Source organism: Homo sapiens, chromosome 13 (genome assembly GCF_000001405.40).
Source record: "Homo sapiens chromosome 13, GRCh38.p14 Primary Assembly".
Lineage (NCBI taxonomy): Eukaryota > Metazoa > Chordata > Mammalia > Primates > Hominidae > Homo > Homo sapiens.
The window spans coordinates 104,917,789-104,944,571 of record NC_000013.11 but is presented as its reverse complement, the minus strand read 5'-3'; the positions used below and the strand labels follow the sequence as shown (position 1 = coordinate 104,944,571).

The window sequence follows — 26,783 nt, the reverse complement described above, 5'->3', positions numbered from 1 at the left end:
TGTATTCACTTGACATTTTCCTCTGTGTTTGCAAGGAATTAAGAGAAGGTTCTGTAAAAAAAAAAAAAAAAAAAAAAAAAAGAACCATAGTAAAATATCAAAATGTTCATGACTAAACAAGCAGATTAATGATCAGAGGGAGCAACACATTTTGGAATCCTTTTATCCCATCTTTAGTATGTGCCTAAGCCTATGGATCCCAGTAACGGCTGGAATCGATCACAGCTGTAGACCTTCCTTCAGAAGCACATGCTTCATCTGTTAGTGATGCAGCTGGGGTTTGTGTGTGTTTTCTCCCCATGATTAACCCTTATTCAATCTAACAAAAAAGGGGTCTAATATTCTCAGCACTGAAACTATATCATGTCACTAATTCTAATACTAGTGTTTTTATAAACATTGCATAAGCTAGAATACTAACATTTCCCTAGTCTTATTTTATTAATTGTTAGGACATTTCTGACTCAAAAATAGAGGTAAAAGAATGAACTTCAATGAAGTTTTTATTTCTGCATTTGTGTGTGTGCTAGTTTTGCATGGCGAGAATACAGCTAAATAGACTCAGATATAAAAAATCGATTTATTAAAAATTTTTAAAGATAAAGAGTAGTAAGCAATAATAACAAAAGAAAAATCTGGAACCCATTCAGCTCAACTAACATCCTTGGCAGGTTCCTATTTACAGCATGAGAAATTTAATGACCAATGCATATAAAACAAAGACTGCCTACATTTTTTCACATGTGCTTTGTTTTTGAAAGAACACTAAAAAATATGCCTACCAGACAAGGCATTTTCATTACATTTAACAACTTTTGTTTTTCTTAACTCTTGAATAGGGGCTTGAATGCTTTAAAGATGGTACAAGAAGTCTACATTCCTGTTCAATGAGAATTTATCTCTATATATTATCAATTACTGATACATTGTGTTTTGTTATAAATCACTCTCATGATCTGTATAAAAATAAACCCTGTTTTTCCAAAGGGAGAAGTTTTACGGCCTTTCTCATGTTGTTTTGTTGCTGTTATGTTTGTTAGGATGTTTCCCATTTAGTGCTCCCATGTGGTTTAAATTAGAGAAAGAGTCTTGTAATTCAACAGCCACTCTCAACTTATAATGAAAAAGTAAACGAATAAAATACCAGATTTAATAGTCCACAGGAAAAATATTTAGAAAAGTAAGCTTTTCATGGTATTAGCTGGTAAGGAACAGAATAAGAATAAATATCTACGCAGTAAGGAGTAACACAAATACAACTTGAACAATCAATCAATCGCTCTGAAAGATAGTACAACCTCCGCAAATGGATTTTTCTTTTTTATTGTTACCTGAGGAAAAAAATCATCTTCTGTGAAGTGGAAGGGTGAGTTGAGTGGTGTTTTTTATACAAACCCTGGGCAATCAGTTCCTTCTGAGGAAGTCCAGCCTGCCTCAATCTCTCGGTAAGCATAGCTGGTTCCTGGAGGAGGGAGACCTAAGTGACCCTTAAAGTTGTTGTTATTATTATTTTGTTTATTTGGACTGAAGGTCTGGGCTCAGAGAAGGTACTAAGAATTTTAGGTTGTGTGTTAGGAGGGGAGGGAGTATGGGCAGTTTGGGGACAGTCTCTAGCCAAGGCTGACAGCTCTACTCCACTCATTTATCCTTGAATCATGTTTTGCGTTGGAGAAAGTCCATGAGTGTAAACTCAGAGAACTATGCACTAGTGTCCATGAACTGGACGAACTGCAGCATTGAACCATCCATGAAGTCAGGCACGGGACCATGGAGGAGTCGCCTTCAGAGAAAACAACACGACAGAATGAAGCAGAAGTAAGGGTCCCTAGGAATTCACATTTCCAGGCAGTTCTATGCCTTTCACTACAAGCAATCCCTTTTTGCCTAAATACATTTAAAGATGACTGTAGAAAACGGAAGCCTCAAAAGGAAAACAATTAACAATGCATTTGGGCACTCTATCACCTTGCTACTTAAAAAATAGTTCTACAAACCAGTGGCTTCCATATTACTAAGTAGCTTTTTAAAAATAGAGACTCTCTGGCCCCACTCCAAAGCCACTGAAACAGCATCTGTATTTTAAACGGATCCCCACATTATTCATATGCATGTAGAAGATTGAAAAGCATGATTCTTGTGATTAATTATGAAAAAAAATAATTTTCTGTTTGAGGAATCAATAAAATATAGTACACATATAATATTTGTTCATAAATGTGTATTTATAATTAGATAAGATGTATATGGGTATGGTCTCTGCCCCTTATTAAGTTAATATTTTCATAAGTGGTGACAGCAGTGATTTATTAGCTCTTTGGTTATATTTGAAGAAGGTGGTGCTTTTCAGGTTTACTTGATTAAACAAATGCTATACTTACATGCAGATACATTTCTACCCAAATAATAAAATAATTGCTTTTCAAGGAAGAAGGTGAGTGTTATTCCCAAACTCAGAATTCACCAAAAAAGAAATCGATGACAACAGCAAATGCCACCGGTTTAGGAGCCTTTGTCACAACAGGACAAAGTGGAGAGGATAAACCCAGCAGTTTATTGGAACTCAGGTAGCTCTCCAAGGCCCTTAAGGCTGCCTACAGCTAACTCATCAGCACAGAAACTTAATCATGTTTTCCTCTGTATATGGATCGAAACTTTAGAATCGAGAATCCATTGATTAAAGAAGCAAAATGATAAGAATTATAATCCCACTTCAAAATTCAACAGATAAAAATAATGCAAAGAATGATTTAAATTTCTGAAGCATTCATCTGAGTATATACATCTGACTGCTAGAAAAGAAACAGACGGTTAAGAATTAATGAAAGGAAGAACCAAAAAACGCTGAAATTATTTCAGAATGAGTTTCCCAAAATATGGCAAACGGCTGGAAAGAAGTTCTATGATATGTTGTTAAATACATTAGGTGAATTCTTGCTTTAACCTGTCATTTTTTCTCTTTTCTTGTTTCTTTCTTTTCTTTATCTCTTTTCTTTCTTTCTCTCCCTCCCTCCTGCTTTCTCTCACCATTTCCCTTTTTTACCACTCCTACTTCCTCTTCCTCCCCACTCCTCCTCCATCCTTCCCTCTTTTCTTCTTCCTAATCTAACATAGAGAATGCCTGTAGTCAAGAAGTACTGAAAATCATTTATTAACTATATGCTACCCAAAGAAATGATGGTAATGATTATGTATTTCCCTTCAAAATTAATAGCAGCTCTTTTTCCTTTACCTTTTCAGCTTTTTCTTACCGCATTTCAAATGTCATAATAAGGATAAGAAGCATTTTGTTTCCCAGAAATGGAGTGATTAATCTGATATGTGTCAGGTTCGATGACATAAAGAAGAAAATATATGTGCCAGTGAGGGTCAAAAGAGTCATTTGGCATTCAATCCTATAGGTTTTCTGAGTTGCAGGAATTTTATATCTTTTCATTTTATTTCAGGAAGAGATAAACAGCTTGAAGCCAGAGTGCCCACTACCATAGTTACAAGAAAACCAGCAATTAGTTCTCTATACAATGCTATTTTATATATTGTAAATCTCCTAAATAGTTGATTTTAGTCTTGGACACTCTAAAAATCCAGAGTTTTGGGGAGAAAAAAAAACTCATGAAAATGTATTTGTTTCAGGCAGTCTACTAATCTTTTAAAAAAGAAGACATAAGTGTTAAGAAGGGTCCAAGCCAGAATTAAGCAATATGTTAACTATTACTTTAGCTCTGAACTATCTTGTTTTGTGTTGAAATAATTAGTCTTTGAAGGAAGCCGTGCAAATTACTACAAGACTTGACCTGAAAGAAATTATTTGGGCTCTCAAGGCTATGTAATCCACAGCAATGTCACCTACTTTAGACTATTAATTCCCAATAAGGCTTGCATTTGTTATGCATGTGTACCCGGAAGCCTATTTGAGCATTTTCTGTAAGCCATATGTAATTCTGTTCAATTTTCCTTGAAATTGCATGAAGCCTTTGAATATTCTAAATTACAATCTATGAACTAAATTGTGGAACTCAGTAGAAAGATCATTAAATCAATATTTTGTCATTCAGATGACATAAATATGGTGCTTAAAAGAGTCCATGCCATATAAGAATTGTTATATATGTGTTAGATATTATTATTACTACTATTGTTAAATTATTTTTTGAAAATGTGAAATTCTAATTTTTATAATTATAAATATTCCAGCAATTTAATGTGAAGTTTATATTATGTTTACCAGACTATCAATTATATATTATCTGTATACACAACACAAATCTGTTGTTATTAATACCTAAGACAAGTCATAATTTGTCCTGCGGTAGATATTTAGAATTAAAAAAGTATCAAATCATATAATATTATACTCTTAAAAATAATAATCTGATTTTTATTACTGGTTTCAGAATTGGATACTCATATTTCCTCTAATATAACAGTTCAATTTTCAATAAGTCTAATTATGTTTTCTATTTTCTCAAATAACTATTTTAGTTTTCATAATCAATGTCTTCCTATATGCTTTTAAAATGATAAAAATATATACTGTTAATTTTTTTAAACCTAGTGTTTTAGTCTGTTAACATGATGCTATAAGGACATACTCAAGACTGGGTAATTTATAAAGGAAAGAGATTTAATTGACTCACAGTTTTGCAGGGCTGGAGAGGCCTCAGGAAACTTACAATTATGGCAGAAGAGGAAGCAAACACGTCCTTTTCACAAGGCAGCAGCAAGGAGAAGAATGAAAGTAAAAGGCGGGAAAGGCCCCTTATAAAACCGTCAGATCTTGTGAGAACTCACTCACTATCAGGAGAACAGCATGAGGGTAACCACCCCATAATTAAATTACTTCCACCTGGTCCCTCCCATGACACGTGGGGATTATGGGAATGACAATTCAAGATGAGGTTTGGGTGGAGACACAGCCAAACCATGTCACATAGTCACTATACTAAACATTTTTACTTATTATTAGGAATAAATAATAAAATTTTTATTATAACCATATCATAGGTACTAATACATTTCTTCTTGCATACAAATTGAAACTGAGGCACAGAAAATTTTAGTAAGGCTGAGGCCTCACAGTTAGTAAGGTTGGAACTGTGAGCAAAGTCTGGGCCTGGCCTCAGAGCTTCCTCCCTCATCGTTTGTGACCTCCTGTAATCTCTCTGTAGGACGAACATAGAATACTCTACATAAGTGGAAAATAAGCACCACTGGGTACTATAATACCATTTTCTTGTTTTATATAATCTGCTATTATTTTGTATTTTTTCTTTATTTTTCATACAAGCAGGGATGACATAAATTTTTTGACACAGAGATCTTATATTTCTAGCCAACCACTTTTCCTATTAGTTTGTGACTGGGGATATATTTATCCTCAAATGTAGCACTTTTCAGTTTTTTCTAATGTTTTCCAATACTGTCTTCATTTAATTTTGAAAAGGAATATTTTTAATTTCCAAAGCTCATTTTCAATATTATTTTTATGTGTTTATTTTTTTCATAAATACAGTAACACCATTTGATAAATCAACTATTTCTTACAAGTCATTAGTAAGACTATTTACTAGAATGTATATCAAGACCGACACTTTAATAATGCTGTTTATCAACTTAACAACAGTTATATTGATAGTTTCTTAGCTTCCCAATAAGACCTACACAGATAGAATAGAAATTTGACAGACAGAAAGGAAAATTGTTCTATTCTATACCTTGTACATATGAAGCCATCCTAGGTTCAATAAGATCTTTCCTTCAGCGTGTTCTTTTATTTTTTATGCAGCAAAATAATCATTTCCAGGGTTGCATCCACACAGAAGGAAGGATTTATTCATGTGTTTATTCATTCCTTCATTCTACATGGATTTATTTAATATCTATTCAATCAGTTCAAAACATATTTATTTAACCTTAATCTTGAGCAGTACACTATGCCAGACACAGAGAAGGATGGAGTGAAAAAAATCAGATTAGAAAGGAGCACAGCCTAATCTTTACCATACTTCACCTTTACTCCCAGAGCCTCTGCGTTCTGCTGATTTGCTCTGATGTGACTTGATAGTCTTAGTCATTTCAATATGATGTAGCCTCATATGAAAAACAAATATCTCCCTAAGTGTCTGACTTCCTACCAAGAGGAAATAGAATCAGCAAGGGAAATCAGACTCAATGTATGCAGCCTGCATGTGATGTTTGCAGAGGGTGTTGAAACACAAAATACAGGATACAATATATACATGACAAGAACCCACGCATTGGCTTCAGGAATCTGGGCTGCTTTGGACCTTGTTTATTTATTTATTTTTGGACCTCATTTAAATCCAGGCTGCCTGCACCTCCCGATAACAACATTCTGCTCTCTCAGGCTGAATTCTTCTACAGTCTAACAGCAAGTAATACCCTTCTAAAAGCCGTGAACATACCTACTCCGTTGGATATCAATTACGTTAACATGGCCATCTTTGTGGTCTCCAGTTGCCCGTGAAATGGAGCCTTGAAATTCCTCCAGAACCTAGGTCACCTTCAGACCAGCAGTCTGCTCGATGCTTACTCATTAAAAGGCAGGGTTTGCTAAGTTAGGGAGCCTCATGAAAATAAAGTGATGTAACTATCAGGATCTTGTTCTTTTTTCATTGCACTAACGAAATAGAAAATATAAATGGTTCCCCAGAATGTAATATTTAAAGACCTATCTCCATTAATGACAGAAAAAAACTCATATATATTATGCTTCCTTAGACATAGGTTTCAGTCTTTTTTATCCTTTAAAACATAGACATTTCCTACATAGTTTTCTTGCTAATAAAAATTTGAGGCAATTTTGTTAAAAAAGTACAAGGATATATATGTGTGTGTGTGAGTATATGTGTGTGTTTGTATACATATACATACATATGTGCATGCGTGTGTGCATATATATATGTGTGTGTGTGTGTATACACGTAGATATATATTTCCTCTCTCACTAAAGGTACTCACTAGACATGTGTTCTCATTGACACAGTAAATGCACACACAGGTGCATATGTGCACCCAACTTGACTGAAATTTAAAAAGTCTTGGCCTTCTCTCTAACCCTTTACATCTAAGAGTATGTTTTCTATATGAGATGTCCTAAAAATTATAGTAACCAGTTACGGCACACCATTGCTGAGAAGATTTTGAAAATATCGAGTCCCGGACACATACCGTCTACATGTAAGACAGGCTGAAGAATGCGAATACTTCTTCTTTCAATTCCTTAGGCTTTACACCTATAGAAATGAAAACTGTAGTCTATTAAAATAACTCAGTGAAAAAGCTGTGGCTCATTTCAGGATTTTTTTTTTTTATGCCAGGCATGAATAGAAGTATGGATTCCAAAACGGTAATTACCAGGGCCTGAAAATGTACATCTGAAAGTAACCCTGTGGAGAATTAGGAGAAATATACTTGGAATATAAGCAGAAACTGGAAGGATTAAAGGAATAAAAACAATGCATTTTTTTCTTCTTTAGTTTAGTGAAATCAATAAAATTGACTAGTATCAACCATTGAAAATGGAGGAAAGAATACAATTTTTATATTTTGTTTAACAAAACGTATCACTTCCTTATTTGAAGGGCTTCAGTTTGGGTCCTACTGTTGTCACTCAAGAACTGTGTGATATTTATGGTATCATAAATTGATTTAATAAATAACCAAATATAGGGTTAATCTATATCTATAGGCATAACATTAGCCAGAATCAATGTATACTTAGATTTCAAGTAATCTGGTAGGCTTTTCAATTTCTGGAGATATATTTATTTATTGTAGATTATATTTACGTAAAGTTTTTAAAATAAGGTAAATCAGCTTAAAAGTGATTAAGGTAAATCAGCTTAAAGTCCATAAAAATAATAAATATTTCTTGTGATTCATTACATTGTAAGCACTAGTTTGAAAATATTATATTGTAAGCACTAGTTTGAAAATTAGCAACTGAGGATTTACATTGATAAGACTGTTGAGTTGATGGATTAACCCCACACCACCGGCCAGATTAAATTGTCACTGCATGCCTTACAGTTCCAAGAGATATTACGAAATAGTAAATACTAACTACAGCCTGTTGTGTAAAAGATGACTTTTACACAATCAGAATTTATGTCCCATCCCATGGTTAGAACTTCCTTGAGGGCCAGAGCCTCCCACATTCTCAGAAAATAAGGCAGTATGTGTTTTGATCTGTTAAATGAAAAGTGTAAATTAATGACTACATTTCTAAGTGAGTCACTATTACACTACCTTTCCAAAATTTTAATAGAAAATATAAAAATTGATAGGAAAATTCTCATTGTCAAATACCATACTTCTCTAATTAATCTCAAGGCAAGATGGATAATTGTGTGGGGTTTCACAAAGACAAAGTTGTTTCAATTCAGCTTGCTCTGAAAAAGAAAAGAAAATTAAAAGGATCTAAAGTCAAACTTTTAGTTCACAGTAAGACATGTAAAATCTAAATACATTATACCTATTATTTTCTAATTTTCAAATTAGCACATAAAAATAATGAATCGCAAGAAATATTTGTTTGATTTATGAACTTTAAAATCAAAATACATTCACTTTTAAGCTGATTTAACTTATTTTAAAAACTTTACATAGAAATAATCTAAAGCAAATCAGGATATCTTTGGAAACTCAAGAGCCTACCAGATCACTTGAAGTGCAAGACTGTGTTGATTCCAGTTGAGGCTATGCCTGTAGATATAGATGAACCCTATATTTGGAAATGTGAGACTCATTTTCCTCATTTTTACTTCATTATTTTTTCACTTTTATTAATATTTTTAAGACTCTTTTCTTTTCACTTTATTTGATACAAAAGTATTCTCGATGCTATATCTAGAAAGCATTAGAAAGACAAAAATTTTTTTATTATACTTTAAGTTCTAGGGTACATCTGCACAACGTGCAGGTTTGTTGTATATATATACATGTGACATGTTGATGTGCTGCACCCATTAACTCATCATTTACATTAGGTATGTCTCCTAATGCTATCCCTCCCTCCTCCTCCCACCCCATAACAGGCCCCAGTGTGTGATGTTCCCCACCCTGTGACCAAGTGTTCTCATTGTTCAATTCCTACCTTTGAGTGAGAACACGCGGTGCTTGGTTTTCTGTCCTTGTGATAGTTTGTTCAGAATGATGGTTTCCAGCTTCATCCATGTTCCTACAAAGGACATGAACTCTTCCTTTTTTATGGCTGCATAGTATTCCATGGTGTATATGTGCCACATTTTCTTAATCCAGTCTATCATTGATGGACATTTGGGTTGGTTCCAAGTCTTTGCTGTTGTGAATAGTGCTGCAATAAACATACGTGTGCATGTGTCTTTATAGCAGCATGATTTATAGTCCTTTGGGTATATACCCAGTAATGAGATGGCTGAGTCAAATGGTATTTCTAGTTCTAGATCCCTGAGGAATCGCCACACTGACTTCCACAATGGTTGAACTAGTTTACAGCCCCACCAACAGTGTAAAAGTGTTCCTATTTCTCCACATCCTCTCCAGCACCTGTTGTTTCCTGACTTTCTAATGATCACCATTCTAACTGGTGTGAGATGGTATCTCTCTGTAGTTTGGATTTGCATTTCTCTGATGGCCAGTGATGATGAGCATTTTTTCATGTGTCTGTTGGCTGCATAAATGTCTTCTTTCGAGAAGTGTCTGTTCATATCGTTCGCCCACTTTTTGACGGGGCAGTTTGATTTTTTTCTTGTAAATTTGTTTAAGTTTGCTAGATTCTGGATATTAGCACTTTGTCAGATGGGTAGATTGTAAAAATTTTCTCCCATTCTGTAGGTTGCCTGTTCACTCTGATGGTAGTTTCTTTTGCTGTGCAGAAGCTCTTTAGTTTAATTAGATCCCATTTGTCAATTTTGGCTTTTGTTGCCGTTGCTTTTGGTGTTTTAGTCATGAAGTCCTTGCCCATGCCTATGTCCTGAATGGTATTGCCTAGGTTTTCTTCTGGGGTTTTTATGGTTTTAGGTCTAACATTTAAGTCTTTAATCCGTCTTGAACTAATTTTGTATAATGTGTAAGGAAGGGATCCAGTTTCAGCTTTCTACATATGGCTAGCCAGTTTTCCCAGTACAGTTTATTAAATAGGGGATCCTTTCCCCATTTCTTGTTTTTGTCAGGTTTGTCAAAGATTAGATGGTTGCAGATGTGTGGTATTATTTCTTAGGGCTCTATTCCATTCCATTAGTCGATATCTCTGTTTTGGTACCAGTATCATGCTGTTTTGGTTACTGTAGTCTTGTAGTATAGTTTGAAGTCAGGTAGTGTGATGCCTTCAGCTTTGTTCTTTTGGCTTAGGATTCTCTTGGCAATGAGGGCTCTTTTTTGGTTCCATACAAACTTTAAAGTAGTTTTTTCCAATTCTGGGAAGAAAATCATTGGTAGCTTGATGGGGAAGGCATTGAATCTATAAATTACCTTGGGCAGTATGGCCATTTTCATGATATTAATTCTTCCTACCCATGAGCATGGAATGTTCTTCCATTTGTTTGTGTCCTCTTTTATTTCATTGAACAGTGGTTTGTAGTTCTCCTTGATGAAGTCCTTCACATCCCTTGTAAGTTGGATTCCTAGGTATTTTATTCTCTTTGAAGTAATTGTGAATGGGAGTTCACTCTCGATTTGGCTTTCTGTTCTTAAACATATCAGCATTACTTGTAAGTTTTATAGTAGTAGTTAGTGATATGCCACTAATAAAGAGCAGTTCATTTAGTAGGAACTGAATATATTTAAAGACTAGTATAAACTAATTATAATACACAAAACTACTCTGCTTACTAATTAAATTTCTTATAAATTTGTTAGTCTGGAAGCAGTAGCCAAGGTGGACAAAATAGTTGAATGTATCCGTGGAAGCATTCAGCTAATTCATTACTGAAAAGCCCAAGTGGTGTCTTAACCAATACATTGTTCGAAAACCAAAGGTCCATAGAGTTATACTTCCCAATATGAAACTGTTTTAAAATATACATATATTACATTTAAGCTCCTTTTACAAAATGCATGTTTCTTCTTTATTCTCTTTAAATTTGGTTGATATATTTACATGAACAAATTTTAAATACCACAAACTTTGAATATTGGAATGACAAGCTTACTTTTTTCCCTAGATTATTTTCCCAAATGAATAAACAAAAAAATGACAACTACAATATAAAAGAAATTATCCGTCAACAGTACAGTGCATTGCAAACAAACAAGCTCTCCCTCTAGCCTCGCTTCTCTAGAATATAAATTGAATGTGGAAGAGAAACAAAATACTTTTGGAAATAAAGAGAATTGTGAAAAGGAGAGAGTGTTTGTTGTTTGTTTTTTTTTGTACTGTGAAAAACCAGATCTCTGATGACATAGAAATTTCAAATGGATGCCCAGGCTAAATTTTAGAAAGTCAATGTGGTTTTCACAGTAGATTTGTTTACATTGTTTATTTATTATTAGTTAGTTATCATTATAAATACTCTCTTGAATAAAAATTATGAAGAGGGAAAAATTCAATAGATGTAATGTCTATATTATCAAAACCCTGAAGTATTATGTACCTTACAAAGAACTCAAAAGGAAGGGATTACAAATTATCACATATTTAGTCAATGTATTTATTTAATTGTGACAAGTGAAAGAACATTAAATAAATTATATTCTGTCTTCAGGCTAAACTCATTCCAATTAAGGGTAAGCATTTTGTAAGTGCTTAACATATGTCATTGTAGTAAAAACAACTTATATAATAATACCATGGAGTTTCACCAATGGCCCTGGTGGAACTATGACTGTTGTTGGAAACATGTTGTATTTTGCCTCTGGCAAAATCATTTTCATTTGCTCCAACTGTAGTCATCCATTTATCCATTTTCTAGAGCAGTGCTACTTTGGTTGCTAATATCACTAGTCCATCAAAATGTATGAGGAACTTAAATCTTTTATCCAAAGAAAGACTACAGGGATTTTCCCCCCCAGTATACTAGCCATTTGCTTTCTTCTAATAAACAAAAGAAATGTTGATATTAAAAAATTACATTTAGTATTTTTGAATATGACAAAAATATTTTGAGCTATATTTGAGCATGAGTAATTTGTGTATTTGATAATTGTTAAACAAATTGTTATATTCTTCATAGTAAGAATATTTCAAATGTGTACTTTTACTATTACTGATTATTAAAGTAGCAACCTAATTATATAATACTGTTCCTAATTCAGCTAAATTTTTTATTAAAGAAAGCACTTTTTATTTTGTAAAGTCACATGCAAGTATATATGTATTTAATTTTTTTATTTTAACAAAAAATATAATTCTACCTTTGCAACTTATTTTCATTTACTACTATATTAGGGATATTTTTTCGGCCATATCTCTCTTTTTTTCGCTCTCTCTCAATAGGTAAATAATTATATACTTCATTTTTTTACATCTCTTAAACATTTGACTTTGACTTTTATGACTTTTAATCATAGATATTTCCAAGTTTCAGGAATCTTATATCTTTACATTTTATTTTAGAATGAGATAAACAGCTTGAAGCCAGAGTACTCACTAAGTCAGTGATGAGAAAACTGTTAGCTCTCTACAAAGTCCTGACTGACTAACACTTAGCACATCACCAAACTAACCTCAAAATTCAATCAGTATATTTACTATTGATTACCATAATGTGTGTGTGTGTCAGGGGGTGTTTTAAAATTTTCTAGTGGAAATAATTGTAAAGGACTCTGGAAAAAGTTATAGAATATCGTTGCCCTTGATGGCAAAAATATATTTTTAAATCTATTGTTTCCTAATTAATATAATAATTTTGGCAAGGTATACTAGATTCTCAATTTGTTTTGAGACTAAACACATTTATTTTACTGTCTATATGTAAGAATGATGTGGAGAAATCTGGAGGGTAGAAAATTGGCATCTCTCATTTCTGCACATGTTATAGAGCAGAGGCAATGATCATCTTTGTTGAGATTACTTTTTCAGAATGTTTTTACAGCAAAAAGCCTTGGAAGATAGAGACAGTGTTGCACTCTTTGAAGCAAAGGGAAGTTTTTTTTATTGATTAGTATAATAAAGATAATGCTGTTCTCTTAAACGTAAAAAATGTTCATAATAATAAGATGTTTCTTTTTTCTACACATTCTTCTAGGGTTCCAGGCTTTCATGGTTGGTCTGGCTGTCATCATTTCCAGACACCAAAATGAAACAGTGGAAATCCAGGTCAGAAGTTGATTTTAACAAGGTTGCCCTTCTAATTATAGGGTTGGCTGATATTTAATCACGTGGTCACACTTAGCCCGGAAAGATAGTGGTGAATGTGGTCTTAACCTGAATAGCCCTGAGGAAGGAGAGAAAAGGTTTGGATAGAGACAGGCTGAACAACCACTGATACACGGTCTTTAAAAATCCTGGGCCGGGCGCGGTGGTTCACGCCTGTAATCCCAGCACTTTGGGAGGCCGAGGCGTGTGGATCACGAGGTCAGGAGATTGAGACCATCCTGGCTAACACGGTGAAACCCCGTCTCCACTAAAAATACAAAAAATTCTCCGGGCGTGGTGGCGGGCGCCTGTAGTCCCAGCTACTCGGGAGGCTGAGGCAGGAGAATGGCGTGAACCCGGGAGGCGGAGCTTGCAGTGAGCCGAGATCGCGCCACTGCACTCCAGCCTGGGCAAAAGAGAGAGACTCCGCCTCAAAAAAAAAAAAAAAAAAGAAAAAATCCTCGGTAACAAAGAATAAAAACAAGAGAAAATTTTTAACAAAAAGAAAGACTATGTGTAATAATCTAAAACAAAATCTAAACATGATAGCCTGGGAGTTGGGTGGACACCAAAGGGAGATGTTTCAGTAAAAACTGGACAGCCAATAGGACAATGGTCTCAGGGTGAACCATTTCTATAGCCTGATGATAGGGTAGAATTTCCAGTGGGACAAGCTATGAAGGTGGAAGACAGTGAAAATGATTATCTTGACCTTGTGTAGGCCTAGGCTAATGAGTGTGTCTGTGTCTTAATTTTTCATAAAAAATTTAAAAGGTAAAAAAATTAAAAATAAGAAAAAAGCTTATAGAATAAGGATATAAAGAAAGAAAATATTATTGTACTGGTATATAATGTGTTTGTGTTTTAAGCTAAGTGTTATTACAAAAGAGTAAAAATGTTAAAAAAAACTAAGTTTATAAAGTAAAGTAGTTACAGTAAGCTAAGGGTAATTTATTATTGAAGAAAAAATATTTTCAATATGTTATTAGTCTGTTTTCATGCTGCTGATAAAGACATATCTGAGACTGGACAATTTACAAAACAAAGAGAGGTTTAATGGACTTACAGTTCCACGTGGCTGGGGAGGCCTCATAATCATGGCAGGAGGCAAGGAGGAGCAAGTCACATCTTACATGGATGGCAGCAGGCAAAGAGAGAGAGGTTGTGCAGGGAAACTCCCCTTTGTAAAACCATCAGATCTTGTGAGACTTATTCACTGTCATGAGAACAGCATGGGAAACACCTGCCCCCATGATTCAATTACCTCGCCAGGTGGTCCCTCCCACATCACCTGGGAATTCAAGATGAGATTTGGGTGGGGACATAGATATCAAATATCTTAGTGTACCTGTAGTGTAAGGTGTTTATAATGCCTACAGTAGTGCATAGCAACATCCTAGGCCTTCACATTCACTCAGCACTCACTCACTCTATTCACCCAGGGCAACTTCTTGTCCTGCAAGATCCACTCAACGGTAAGTGCCCTATACAGGTGTACCACTTTTAAATCTTCCGTATCATGTTTTTTAATGTGTCATTCCTATATTCATATACTTTTAAATACATGTGACTGTACTGAACCCTGAAAGCAATTGTAACACAATCATAAGCATTTAAGGGCTATAGGCATTACCATAGAGTCTAGGTGTACAATGGGCTGTACCATCTAGGTGTGTGTAATTATGGCACACTCTGATATTTGCACAAGGACAAAATCAATTGATGATGCATTTCTCAGAACACATTCCCATTGTTAAGCTATGCATGACTGTATGAGATTACACTCTTCTGCTCAAAACCATTTTTTGATTTCCTATTGCCCACAGAATCAAGTCAAATTTTCTTATTCTAACATTGAAAAAAGTCATCTATTATTTACTACAATGTTTTTGCATTTTTCTCACTACCATCCATTGGTCATTCCTTTAATTGTATTGATTATTATTTTCCAACATTTCTGTTCTATGATTCTATGATTTAAAGCCATCTCTTAGTTTTCACCTTCCTCCTCTTCAGATTCATGAGGAAATCCTTCATGTTCTACTTTTGCTATAAATCCTGCAATTGGAGCCCCTTGATGCATTGCTCTTACACCCAGCCACCATCACCTCTCACTCCAAACAGCATGATAGCTTCCCCATTGGGTGTTCAGCCTTGATCTTTACCATGTAGAAACTCCACAGTGCCTACACTGAATACTCTTCTATGGATTGAATCACATCATGCCATTTCTAAGCTTGCAGAACTCCAGGACCTTTGCAATTCTCTGAGAAACAACAACCAAGTCCTTTTCTTGGACAGGGAGGACTTACATGATCTGACTCACTCACTCTTCTGATCTGATCTTCCACCACTTCTGCCTCATGCATCTCGCTCCAGCCACACTGGCCACTTGCTCTTCCTGGCACTGACATGCTTCTGCCCCCAAGCTCTTGCCCTTGCTTTCTCTCTACCTGGAACTTTCTTTTTCTGCTCCTGAAAAGATGCACACCTTACTCTTTCTGCCTTCTTTCTTCCAATGTCTGCTTAAATGTTACCTTCCCTGCGATCACTTTATATAAAATTGTACTCCTCTCCCACCATTCTGAATCTTCCTTAATTTTATTTTTATAACACTTTCCATTTCATAAACTTATCAATTATTGTTTATTTTTATTTGTTTCTTGTTCCTCTTTGAATTTACACTGAGGGATGATGGCGATTTTTCCATTTTCCAAGAATAGAAAATTGCATGTACCATGGAACCAGCAAACCTTTGCTGAGTGAATTTCTGTAATTTTTCCACATTGTTGATATACCCTGAAATACCTATCCCTCAACTGTCAGACCTTCTACTTTCCTTGAGAAACCCAGTACAAACACCATCTCTTCCATCAAGACCTCTTTAATTCCCTCAGTTCTAATTAAATGTTCTTCTGAAAGATTCCAAAGTATTTTAAATTCATATTTTAGAATCTTTCACATTGTATCATGCTTTCAAGTTGCTAAGTATACAGCAATTTCCCCCGGTAGAACGTGAGCTCCTTTTCTTTATGGTTGTATTGAGAGAGGCAGTCTGCCATGGGCCCTGAGGGTCCCCTCTAGTAGGTTTGCCAGATAAAATAAAGGATGCCCGGCTACATTTAAATTTCAGATAAACAACAAATGCAATATTTGGAACACACTTATATTAAAATATTTATGCTCTTGAAATTCAGTGTAAATTCTAGTCTGTCTGTGTTTTATTTCTCACCTTGCTTACAGAATAAAAGTACACATAATGTCTTCCAGAAATGAATGTAGGCAAATCCTCATAGTCTCTAGCCCTCCATCCTAGTTTTCTTCAAACACTCTTTAATACTGAGTCCCTACAATCACTTATTTGAACAAAATGGCAAGAGGCTAGCTGCTGCCTAATTTATTTAATTAATATTTATCTTAAATTCATTAATAACCCTACTCCACCCCTTCCCCCTCCTGAATCATACCCTCCCAAGAAAATAAGCCTGTATCCTCTTCTCTTTAAGATCAATGGGAAAACACGGCAATGATATTTTATAGTCTACCTGTAGCATTAGTGACTTATTTTTTAAAAATAAATTCTTGTGGAATAGTATTAGATTTACAGAAAAGGTGCAAAGATAATTCAGTGCTATACTTTATCCAATTCCCCCTAATGTTATCACCTTACATTACTGTGATAACATTTGTCAAAACTAATAAATTAACACTTATACAATATTATTAACTGAATGCTTAGTTTTATTCAGATGTCTCCAGTTTTCCCAGTAATGTCTATTTTCTGCTTCAGGATCCCACATTACATTTGAGTGTCTTTTCTCCGTAGGCTGCTCTGGTCTAGGACATTGTCTTAGCCTTTGCTTGTTTTTGATGACCTCAAGGTTTTGATGAGTGTCTGTCAGGTAGCTTGTAGGACGTGTTTTCATGTCTCCTTCTGAGGAGACAAATATGCAGCACAGGGGCCACCAGTGAGTCCTCTGAGGCTCACGGTGCAGTGGCAGCCAGCGTGGTGTCTCCATTAGAAAGTCCTCACACCCTCTCTTGCCTTACTTCCCTTTCCTCACCCATGAATTTGTATGTCCAAAATAATGCATCTGTCTTCTAGAAATATCAAGAGAAAAACAGCAGTAATCATTAACTGTGTTTGCTTGGGAGGAAGGGTGAGGAGAGAATTTTGAAAGTGACTGTGATTTTTTTTTTAAATATTGTAATCGGACATTCTATGCCACTTTCAAGTCTCTGTTCTGGGCTCCAGGCTTATATTAGTAGAAATCAAAGAGTCTGTTAATCTCATACCCTTCCATATTTGCTTTCATATGATAGGCAGTTAGGGAAAGATCATTAAATAAAACATCTGTCATTTTACCTCAAAATAGCATCAGTTACCACTACACATCTATTAGAATATTGAAAGCTCAGAAACACTGAGAACACCAAATGCCGGCAAGTAAGTGGGGAAAGAGGAACTCTCATTCATTGCTGGTAGAAATGCAAAATGGCATAACAACTTTGACAGCTCTGCAGCTTCTTTCAAAGCTAAACATAATCTCCTGTATGATCCAGCAATCGGGTCCTTGGTATTTACGCAAATATGTTTAACATTTATGTGCACACAAAAACCTGCATATATGTAAATTTTCCATAAGTTATTGGAGTACAGGTGGTATTTGCTTACATGAGTAAGTTCTTTAGTGGTGATTTGTGAGATTTTGGTGCACCCATCACCTGAGCACTACACACTGCACCCTATTTGTAGTCTTTTATACCTCTCCCCCTCCCACTCTTTCTCACAAGTCCCCAAAGTCCATTGTATCATTCTTATGCCTTTGTATCCTCATAGCTTAGCTCCCACATATCAGTGAGAACATAAGATGTTTGGTTTCCGTTCCTGAGTTACTTCACTTAGAATTTAATAGTCTCCAATCTATCCAGATCACTGAAAATGCTGTTAGTTCATTCCTTTGTATGGCTGAGTAGTATTCCATCATATATATATATATACATATATATCACAATTTATCCACTCATTGATTGATGGGCATTTTGGTTGGTACCACGATTTTGCTATTTTAAATTGTGCTGCTATAAACATGTGTGTGCAAGTATCTTTTTTGAATAATGACTTCTTTCCCTCTGGGTAGATACCCAGTAGTGGGATTGCTGGATTAAATGGTAGTTCTATTTTTAGTTCTTTAAGGAATCTCCACACTATTTTCCATAGTGGCTGTATTAGCTTACATTCCCACCAGCGGTGTGGACATGTTCTCTATTCACTGCATCCATGCCAACATCTACTGTTTTTTGATTTTTTTTTATTATTGCCATACTTGCAGGAGTAAGCTAGTATTGCATTGTGGTTTTGATTTGCATTTCCCTGATAATTAGTGATTTTGAGCATTTTTTCATATGTATATCTTCTTTTCAGAATTGTCTATTCATGTCCTTAGCCCAATTTTTGATGGGATTTTTTTTTCTTTCGTACTGATTTGACTTCACTGTAGCTTCTGGATATTAGTCCTTTGTCAGGTGTATAGATTGTGAAGATCTTCTCCCACTTTGTGGGTTATCTGTTTACTCTGCTGACTGTTCCTTTTGTCCTGCAAAAGCTCTTTAGTTTAATTAGGTCCCAGCTATTTATCTTTGTTTGTATTGCATTTGCTTTTGGGTTCTTGGTAATGAAATCCTTGCCTAAGCCAAGGTATAAAAGGGTTTTTCCAATGTTTTCTTCTAGAATTTTTATAGTTTTAGTCTTAGGTTTATGTCCTTTATCCATCTTGAGTTGATTTTTGAATAATGTTAGAGATGAGGATCGAGTTTCATTCTCCTATATATGGCCAGCCAACTATCCTAGCACCATTGCTGAAAAGGGTGTCCCCTTCCTGTGCCCATGTGTTCTCATTGTTGAATTCCCACCTATGAGTGAGAACATGCGGTGTTTGGTTTTTTGTCCTTGCAATAGTTTGCTGAGAATGATGGTTTCCAGCTTCATTCATGTCCCTACAAAGGACATGAACTCATCATTTTTTATGGCTGCATAGTATTCCATGGTGTATATGTGCCACATTTTCTTAATCCAGTCTATCACTGATGGACATTTGGGTTGGTTCCAAGTCTTTGCTATTGTGAATAGTGCTGCAATAAACATACATGTGCATGTGTCTTTATAGCAGCATGATTTATAAACCTTTGGGTATATACCCAGTAATGGGATGGCTGGGTCAAATGGTATTTCTAGTTCTAGATCCCTGAAGAATCACCACACCGACTTCCACAATGGTTGAACTAGTTTACAGTCCCACCAACAGTGTAAAAGTGTTCCTATTTCTCCACATCCTCTCCAGCACCTGTTGTTTCCTGACTTTTTAATGATTGCCATTCTAACTGGTGTGAGATGGTTTCTCATTGTGGTTTTGCTGTGCATTTCTCTGATGGCCAGTGATGGTGAGCATTTTTTCATGTGTTTTTTGGCTGCATAAATGTCTTCTTTTGAGAAGTGTCTGTTCATAAGGGGAACATCACACACTGGGGACTGTTGTGGGGTGGGAGGAGCGGGGAGGGATAGCATTAGGAGATATACCTAATACTAAATGACAAGTTAATGGGTGCAGCACACCAACATGGCACATGTATACATATGTAACAAACCTGCACGTTGTGCACATGTACCCTAAAACTTAAAGTATAATAATTAAAAAATTAAAAAATTAAAAAAAAGAACACTTTATGTTTTAATTTGCTTTGTCAAAGATCAGTTGGCTGTAAGTATTTGGGTTTATTTCTGGGTTCTCTATTCTGTTCAATTGGTCAATGTGCCTATTTTTTTACCAGTACCATGCTGTTTTGGTGATGATGGCCTCACAGTGTACTTTGAAATCAGCTAGTGTGATGCCTTCATATTTGTTCTTTTTGTTTAGTCTTGCTTTGGCTATGCGGGCTCTTTTTTGGTTCCATATAAATTTTAGAATTGTTTTTTCTAACTCTGTGAAGAATGATGGTGGTATTTTGATGGGGATTGCATTGAATTTGTAGATTGCTTTTGGCAGTATGGTCATTTTCACAATATAGATTCTACCTATCCATGAGCATGGGATGTGTCTCCATTCATTTGTGTTGTCTATGATTTCTTTCAGCAGTGTTTTGTACTTTTCCTTGCAGAGGTCTTTCACCTCCTTGGTTATATAGGAATAATATTCCTAAGTATTTTATTTTAATTTTTGCAGCTATTGTAAAATGAGCTGAGTTCTTCATTTGATTCTCTGCTTAGTTGCTGTTGGTGTATAGAAGAGCTACTGATTTGTGTATATTAATCTTCTATCCGAAAACTGCTAAATTTTTTATCAGTTCTAGGAGCTTTCTTCAGGAGGAGTCCTTAGGGTTTTCAAGGTAAACAATCATATCATCAGCAAATACTGACAGTTTGACTTTCTCTTTGCCAATTTGGATGCCCTTTATTTCTCTCCCTTCTCTGATTGCTCTGGCTAGGACTTCCAGTAGTATGTTGAAGAGGAGTGATGAGAATGGGCATCCTTGTTTGGTTCCAGTTCTCAGAGGGAATGCTTTCAACTTTTCCTCATTCAGTATTATGTTGGCTGTGGGTTTGTCATAGATGGCTTTTATTACATTAAGGTGTATCCCTTGTATGCCAATTTTGCTGAGAGTTTTAATCATAAAGGCATGCTGGATCTTGTTGAATGCTTTTTTTTTTGCATCTATTGAGATGATCATGTGATTTTTGTTTTTAATTCTATTTATGTGGTGTATCACATTTATTGACTTGTGTATGTTAAACCATCCCTGCATCCCTGGTATGAAACCCACTTGATCCTGGTGGATTATCTTTCTGATATGATGTTGGATTCAGTTAGCTAGTATTTTGTTAAAAATGTTAGCATCAATGTTCATTAACGATATTGGTCTGTAGTATTCTTTCTCTGGCTATGTCCTTTCCCGCTTTGGGGATTAGGGTGATGGGTGATGCTGGCTTTGTAAAATGAATTGGGGGGGTTCCTTCTTTCTCTATTTGTGGAATAGTGTCAAAAGGATTGGCACCAATTCTTTAAATATCTGGTAGAATTCTGCTTTGAATCCATCTGTTCCTGGACTTTTTTTGTTGGTAATATTTAATTACCATTTCAATCCTGCTGCTTGTTTTTGGTCAGTTCAAGGTATCTAATTCTTCCTGATCTAAGCTAGGAGGATTGTATTTTTCCACCAATTGATCCATTTTTTCTAGGTTTTCTAGTTTATGTGCATAAAGGTGTTCATAGTAGTCTTGAATGATCTTTTGTATTTCAGTGGTGTCATTTGTAATATCTCCTGTTTTGTTTCTTAGTGAGGTTATTTGTATTTTCTCTCGTCTTTCCTTGGTTAATCTTGCTAGTGGTCTATCAATTTCATTTATCTTTACAAAGAACCAGCTTTTTGTTTCATTTATCTTTTGTATTTTTTTTTTGTTTTAATTTCTTTTAGTTCTGCTCTGATCTTGGTAATTTCCTTTCTTCTGCTGGGTTTGGGTTTGGTTTGTTCTTGTTCCTCTAGTTTTTTGAGGTGTGACCTTAGATTGTCTGTTTGTGCTCTTTCAGTCTTTTTGATGTAGGTGCTTAGGGCTATGAAATTTCCTCTTAGCACCATCTTTGCTGTATCTCAGAGGCTTTGATAGGTTGTGGCATTATTGTTATTCAGTTCAAATAATTTTTAACTTTCCATCTTGATTTCATTTTGGACCAAATGATCATTCAGGAGCAGGTTATTTAATTTCCATGTATTTGCAAGGTTTTGAAGATTCCTTTTGGAGTTGATTTCCAGTTTTATTCCACTGTGGTCTGAGAGAGTGATTGACATAATTTCAGTTTTCTTAAATTTACTGAGGCTCATTTTATGGCCTATCATATGGTCTGTCTTGGAGAAAGTTCCATGTGCTATTGAATAGAATGTGTATCCTGCAGTCGTTGGATGAAATGTTCTGTATATATCTGTTAAGTTCATTTGTTCCAAGGTATAATTTAAATCCATTGTTTCTTTGTTGACTTTCTGTCTTGATGTCTTGTCTAGCACTGTCAGTGGAGTACTGAACTCCCCCACTTTTATTGCATTGCTATCTATCTCATTTCTTAGGTCTATTGGTAATTGTTTATAAGTTTGGGAGCTCCAGTGTTAGGTGCAAATATGTTTAGGATTGTGATATTTTCCTGTTGGACAAAGCTTTTTACATATATAATGTCCCTCTTTGTCTCTTTTAACCATTATTACTTTAAAGTTTGTTTTGTATGATATAAGAATAGCGACCCCTGCTTGCTTTTGGTGTCCATTTGCATGAAATGCCCTTTACCACCCCTTTACTTTAAGTTTTTATGAGTCTTTATGTGTTGTGTTTGAGTCTCCTAAAAGCAGCCAATAGTTGGTTGGTGAGTTCCTATCCATTATGCCGTTCTGTATCTTTTAAGTGGAGGCTTTAGGCCATTTACATTCAGTGTTAGTATTCAATGTTAGTATTGAAATTCTCTCAGCATTTTTTTGTCTGAAAATGACTGCATCTTTCCTTCATATATGATGCTTAGTTTCTCCGGATACGAAATTATTGGCTGATAATTGTTTTGTTTGAGGAGGCTGAAAACAGGGCCCCAGTCCCTTCCAGCTTGTAGGGTTTCTACTGAGAAATCTACTGTTAATCTGATAGGTTTTCCTTTATAGGTTACCTGGTGCTTCTCTCTCACAGATCTTGATTCTTTCTTCACCTTTGGATAACCTGATGACAATGTGCCTAGGTGAAGATCTTTTTGTGATACATTTTCTAGGAGTTCTTTGTGCTTCTTGTATTTGGATGTCTAGGTCTTCAGCAAGGCTGGAGAAATTTTCCTCATTTATTCCCTCATATATATTTTCCCAGCTTTTAGAATTCTCTTCTTCCTCAGGAACACCAATTATTCTTAGGTTGGGTCATTTTACATAATCCCAGACTTTTTGGTGGCTTTGTTCATATTTTCTTACTCTGTTTTCTTTGTTTTTGTTGGATTGGGTTAATTCAAAGACCTTGTCTTTGAACCCTGTATTTATTTCTTCTACTTGTTCAATTCTGTTGCTGAGACTTTCCAGAGCATTTCACATTTCTAAAAGTGTGTCCAAAGTTTCCTGAATTTTTGATTCTTTTTTCTTTAAGCTATCTATTTCCTTGAATATTTCTCCCTTAACTTCTTGTATCATTTTTTGGGATTTCATTGCGTTGGGCTTTGCCTTTCTCTGGTCCCTCCCTGATTAGCTTAAAAACTAATCTCCTGAATTCTTTCTCAGGTAAATCAGGGATTTCTCTTGGTTTGGATCCACTGTGGGTGAATTAGTGTGATTTTTGGGGGGTGTGAAGAGCTTTGTTTTGTCATAACAAAGGGTTAGTTTTCTGGTTCCTTCTCATTTGGGTAGCCTCTGTCAGAGGGAAGGTCTAGGGCTGAAGGCTGTTGTTCAGATTCTTTTGTCCCATGTGGTGTTCCCTTGATGTAGTACTCTCCCCCTTTTCCTATTGATGTGGCTTTCTGTGAGCCAAACTGTAGTGATTGTTGTCTCTCTTCTAGGTCTAGCCACCTAGTGTGTCTACTTGGCTCTGGGCTGGTACTGGGGGTTGTCTGCACAGAGTCCTGTGATGTGAACCATGTATGGGTCTCTCAGCCGTGGATACCAGTACTTGTTCCAGTGGAGGTGGCAGGGGTGGACTCTGTGAGGTTTCTTAGCTTTGGTGGTTTAATGCTCTATTTTTGTGCTGGTTGGCCTCCTACCAGGAGGTGGTGCTTTCCAGAAAGCATCAGCTGTGGTAGTATAGAGAGGGACCAGTGGTGGGCGGAGCCCTAGAACTCCCAAGATCATATGCCCCCTGTCTTCTGCTACCCAGGTGGATAAGAAAGGACCATCAGGTGGGGGCAGGGCTAGGTGTGTCTGAGATCAGACTCTCCTTGGGCAGGTCTTGCTGTGGCTCTTGTGGGGGATGGGGGTGAGATTCCCAGGTCACTGAAGTTGTGTACTTAGGAGGATTATGGCTGCCTCTGCTGAGTCATGCGGGTTGTGGGAGAAAGCTGGCAGTCAAAGGCCTCACCCAGCTCCCATGCAAACCAAAGGGCCGGTCTCACTCCCACCCTGCCTCTCCCCAACAGCCCCGAGTCTGTTTCCAGGTGGAGGGTGTGTGGGCTTGAAAACTTGCCCCAGGCTACCTGCCTTCTAGTTGGGAAAGAAAAGGGCTTGGTTCTTCCCCTGCCTGTGGAGTCTGCACACAGGATTTGCACCCTTACCTGAGCTCTGGCCAGGAGGCTTCTTGCCCTGTTCAAATTGTTACAAAGTTCAACTAGAGATTTCCTTCTCCCTGTGGAGTTTTACCCCCTGCTCCTCTGGTCACCCTTCCAATGGATCCCTGTGGTACCAGGCAAAAATGGGCTGCTTGGGACCCAGTGAGCTCCCAGGGCCTTTCTGCTGCTTCCTCTAGCCCTGTATTTTGCTTGGCTCTCTAAATTGACTCAGCTCCAGGTAAAGTCGGAAGCTTCTCCCACAAACAGACCTTCAGCTTCTCCAGTGGCGGTGTGTGTTTGGGAGAGGAGAGTCTCCCTTTCCCACTCACACAGTTGGAGCACTCACAGTATTCCCACATGGATATTTTGACAGTTGGGGAGGTGATGCATGCATGGGGTCTTCTCTAAAATATAGTCTGCAAAAATTGTTTCAGTTAAGTATCCTAAAAATCCCTAATCTTCCCAAGAGGTAGAGGAACACTTTACCTTCCTAAATCTGTTGTTAAAGAGCTTAATGTTTATCATATTGATGATACATCACTGCATTAGCAATTACATGGAGACAAACACTCTGCTCAAAAACCTCATGTGAAACATTTGTCTTTTCTTGATCCTGTGCAATTGCAAATTATTTTGGAAAATACACCTTCATAATTTTCATCTCTGTGTTATCACCATCGCCATACATTCTCACATGCTACCCCCTAAGCATTTGGTTGAATGAGTGAGGGTGAAAGATACGGACACTTTTTACACAGCCACCTTTTACCATATTCTTAAAGGATATCATATAATATTATTGAATGATGATGAGAGAAGAAGAAATGAAGGTAGACAGGTGAAACAAGCAGATGTTTCTGACCTTATTAAAGGTCCTTTAATTTAGATTAAGAAGCATTGTTTACTGAAGAGTGTGCTCTGTGTGTGTGTGTGGGTGCATGTGTGTGTGTTCAACTGAAAGTAAAATGAGTTTCTGGTAATAATAACTTTGATGAAGAGGAAGGAGGAATGATTTGGTGATGGCGGTTCGCTGAGTGGACACCATGTCTGGGTGGATGAGGCTCATTGTAGCAGCTGAGTGTGTGAGGAGGGTGACAGGCAGAGAAGAGGAAAGTTAGGAGGCAGAGATGCTGGGAACATAGAGAAAAGGGAGAGGAGATGTGTTAGGCTTTCCTTGGCTTGGTGTAAACGAATACCCCAGATTGGGTGATTTATAAAGTAGGGGCATAATTGACTCACGGTTCTGCAGGCTGTACAAACAGCATGGCACCAGCATCAGCTTGGCTTCTGCAGAGGCCTCAGGGAGCTTTTACTTGTGGTGGAAGGTGAACTGGGGGCAGGCAGTCACACGGCAAGAGCGGGAGCAAGAGAGAGTGGAGGGCGGAAGGCACCCCCCACTTTTAAACAACCAGATCTCTTGAGAATGCACTCAATATCGTGAGGACGGCCCCAAGCCATGAGGGCTCTGTCCCCATGACCCAAACAACCCCCTCCAGGCCCCTCTTCCAACACTGGAGATTTCATTTAAACATGAGATTTGTACAGGACAAATATCCAAACCATATCAGAAACACACTAGTTGACAATTTTTGCAAGAAAATAACAGAAAAGGAGGAGGATAACTAAAAGAAGAAAGAAAGCAATATGAAACTCAATAAAATATTTTGGAAGCTTTCTTGCTGGTCACAGGCAGTGTATTAATTGTTAAACCTAATTTCTTTTGCTTTCTGTTTGAGGTCTTCTCCATAAACTCTACATCATGCCATATGCTGCCACCCACCCTTTTCTCTTAGGAAGACATCGGCTCTCTTGTTTTTAAATGAATATGGGAAGAACACCCAATGTAGGTCTGATTGTATTATTAGCAGCCATTGACTATATCAAAAACTGTGTCACCCCAAGAAACATAACTTTTGTCTTTTGCGTTAATATTGTGTTTAATTGAATGTTTAGTTAGTTTACACTGGTGTGGCCACTGGTTCTAGCTGGCATCTGATTTGATTGGTCATTGCCTATATTTTAAACGTTTAAAATATTTTAAACGTTTAAAATATCACCAAAAAGCAATGCTTTTGTCAGGAAATGCTTGGCTTCTTACTTCTATTTATATCTACTGCACACACAATTTGAATTTAGGCCATGAAGTCTAACCATATAGAACACTATGGCATCCAACTAAGCAGGTTGATCGAACAAACATATGTCTCAGACAGATATGGGTCAAA

The 26,783-nt window shown here is 36.4% G+C and overlaps 1 long non-coding RNA gene across 1 annotated transcript in view; it reads left to right on the top strand.

Moving 5' to 3' along the window:
• LOC105370343 (uncharacterized) overlaps positions 1–13,220 on the top strand; it is a 37,659-nt gene extending 24,439 nt beyond the window's left edge. The window contains exon 3 of the long non-coding RNA XR_001749998.1: positions 13,185–13,220. This is a non-coding gene — a long non-coding RNA (uncharacterized LOC105370343). The remainder of the gene's footprint in view (positions 1–13,184) is intronic.
• The last annotated feature ends 13,563 nt before the right edge of the window (positions 13,221–26,783 follow it).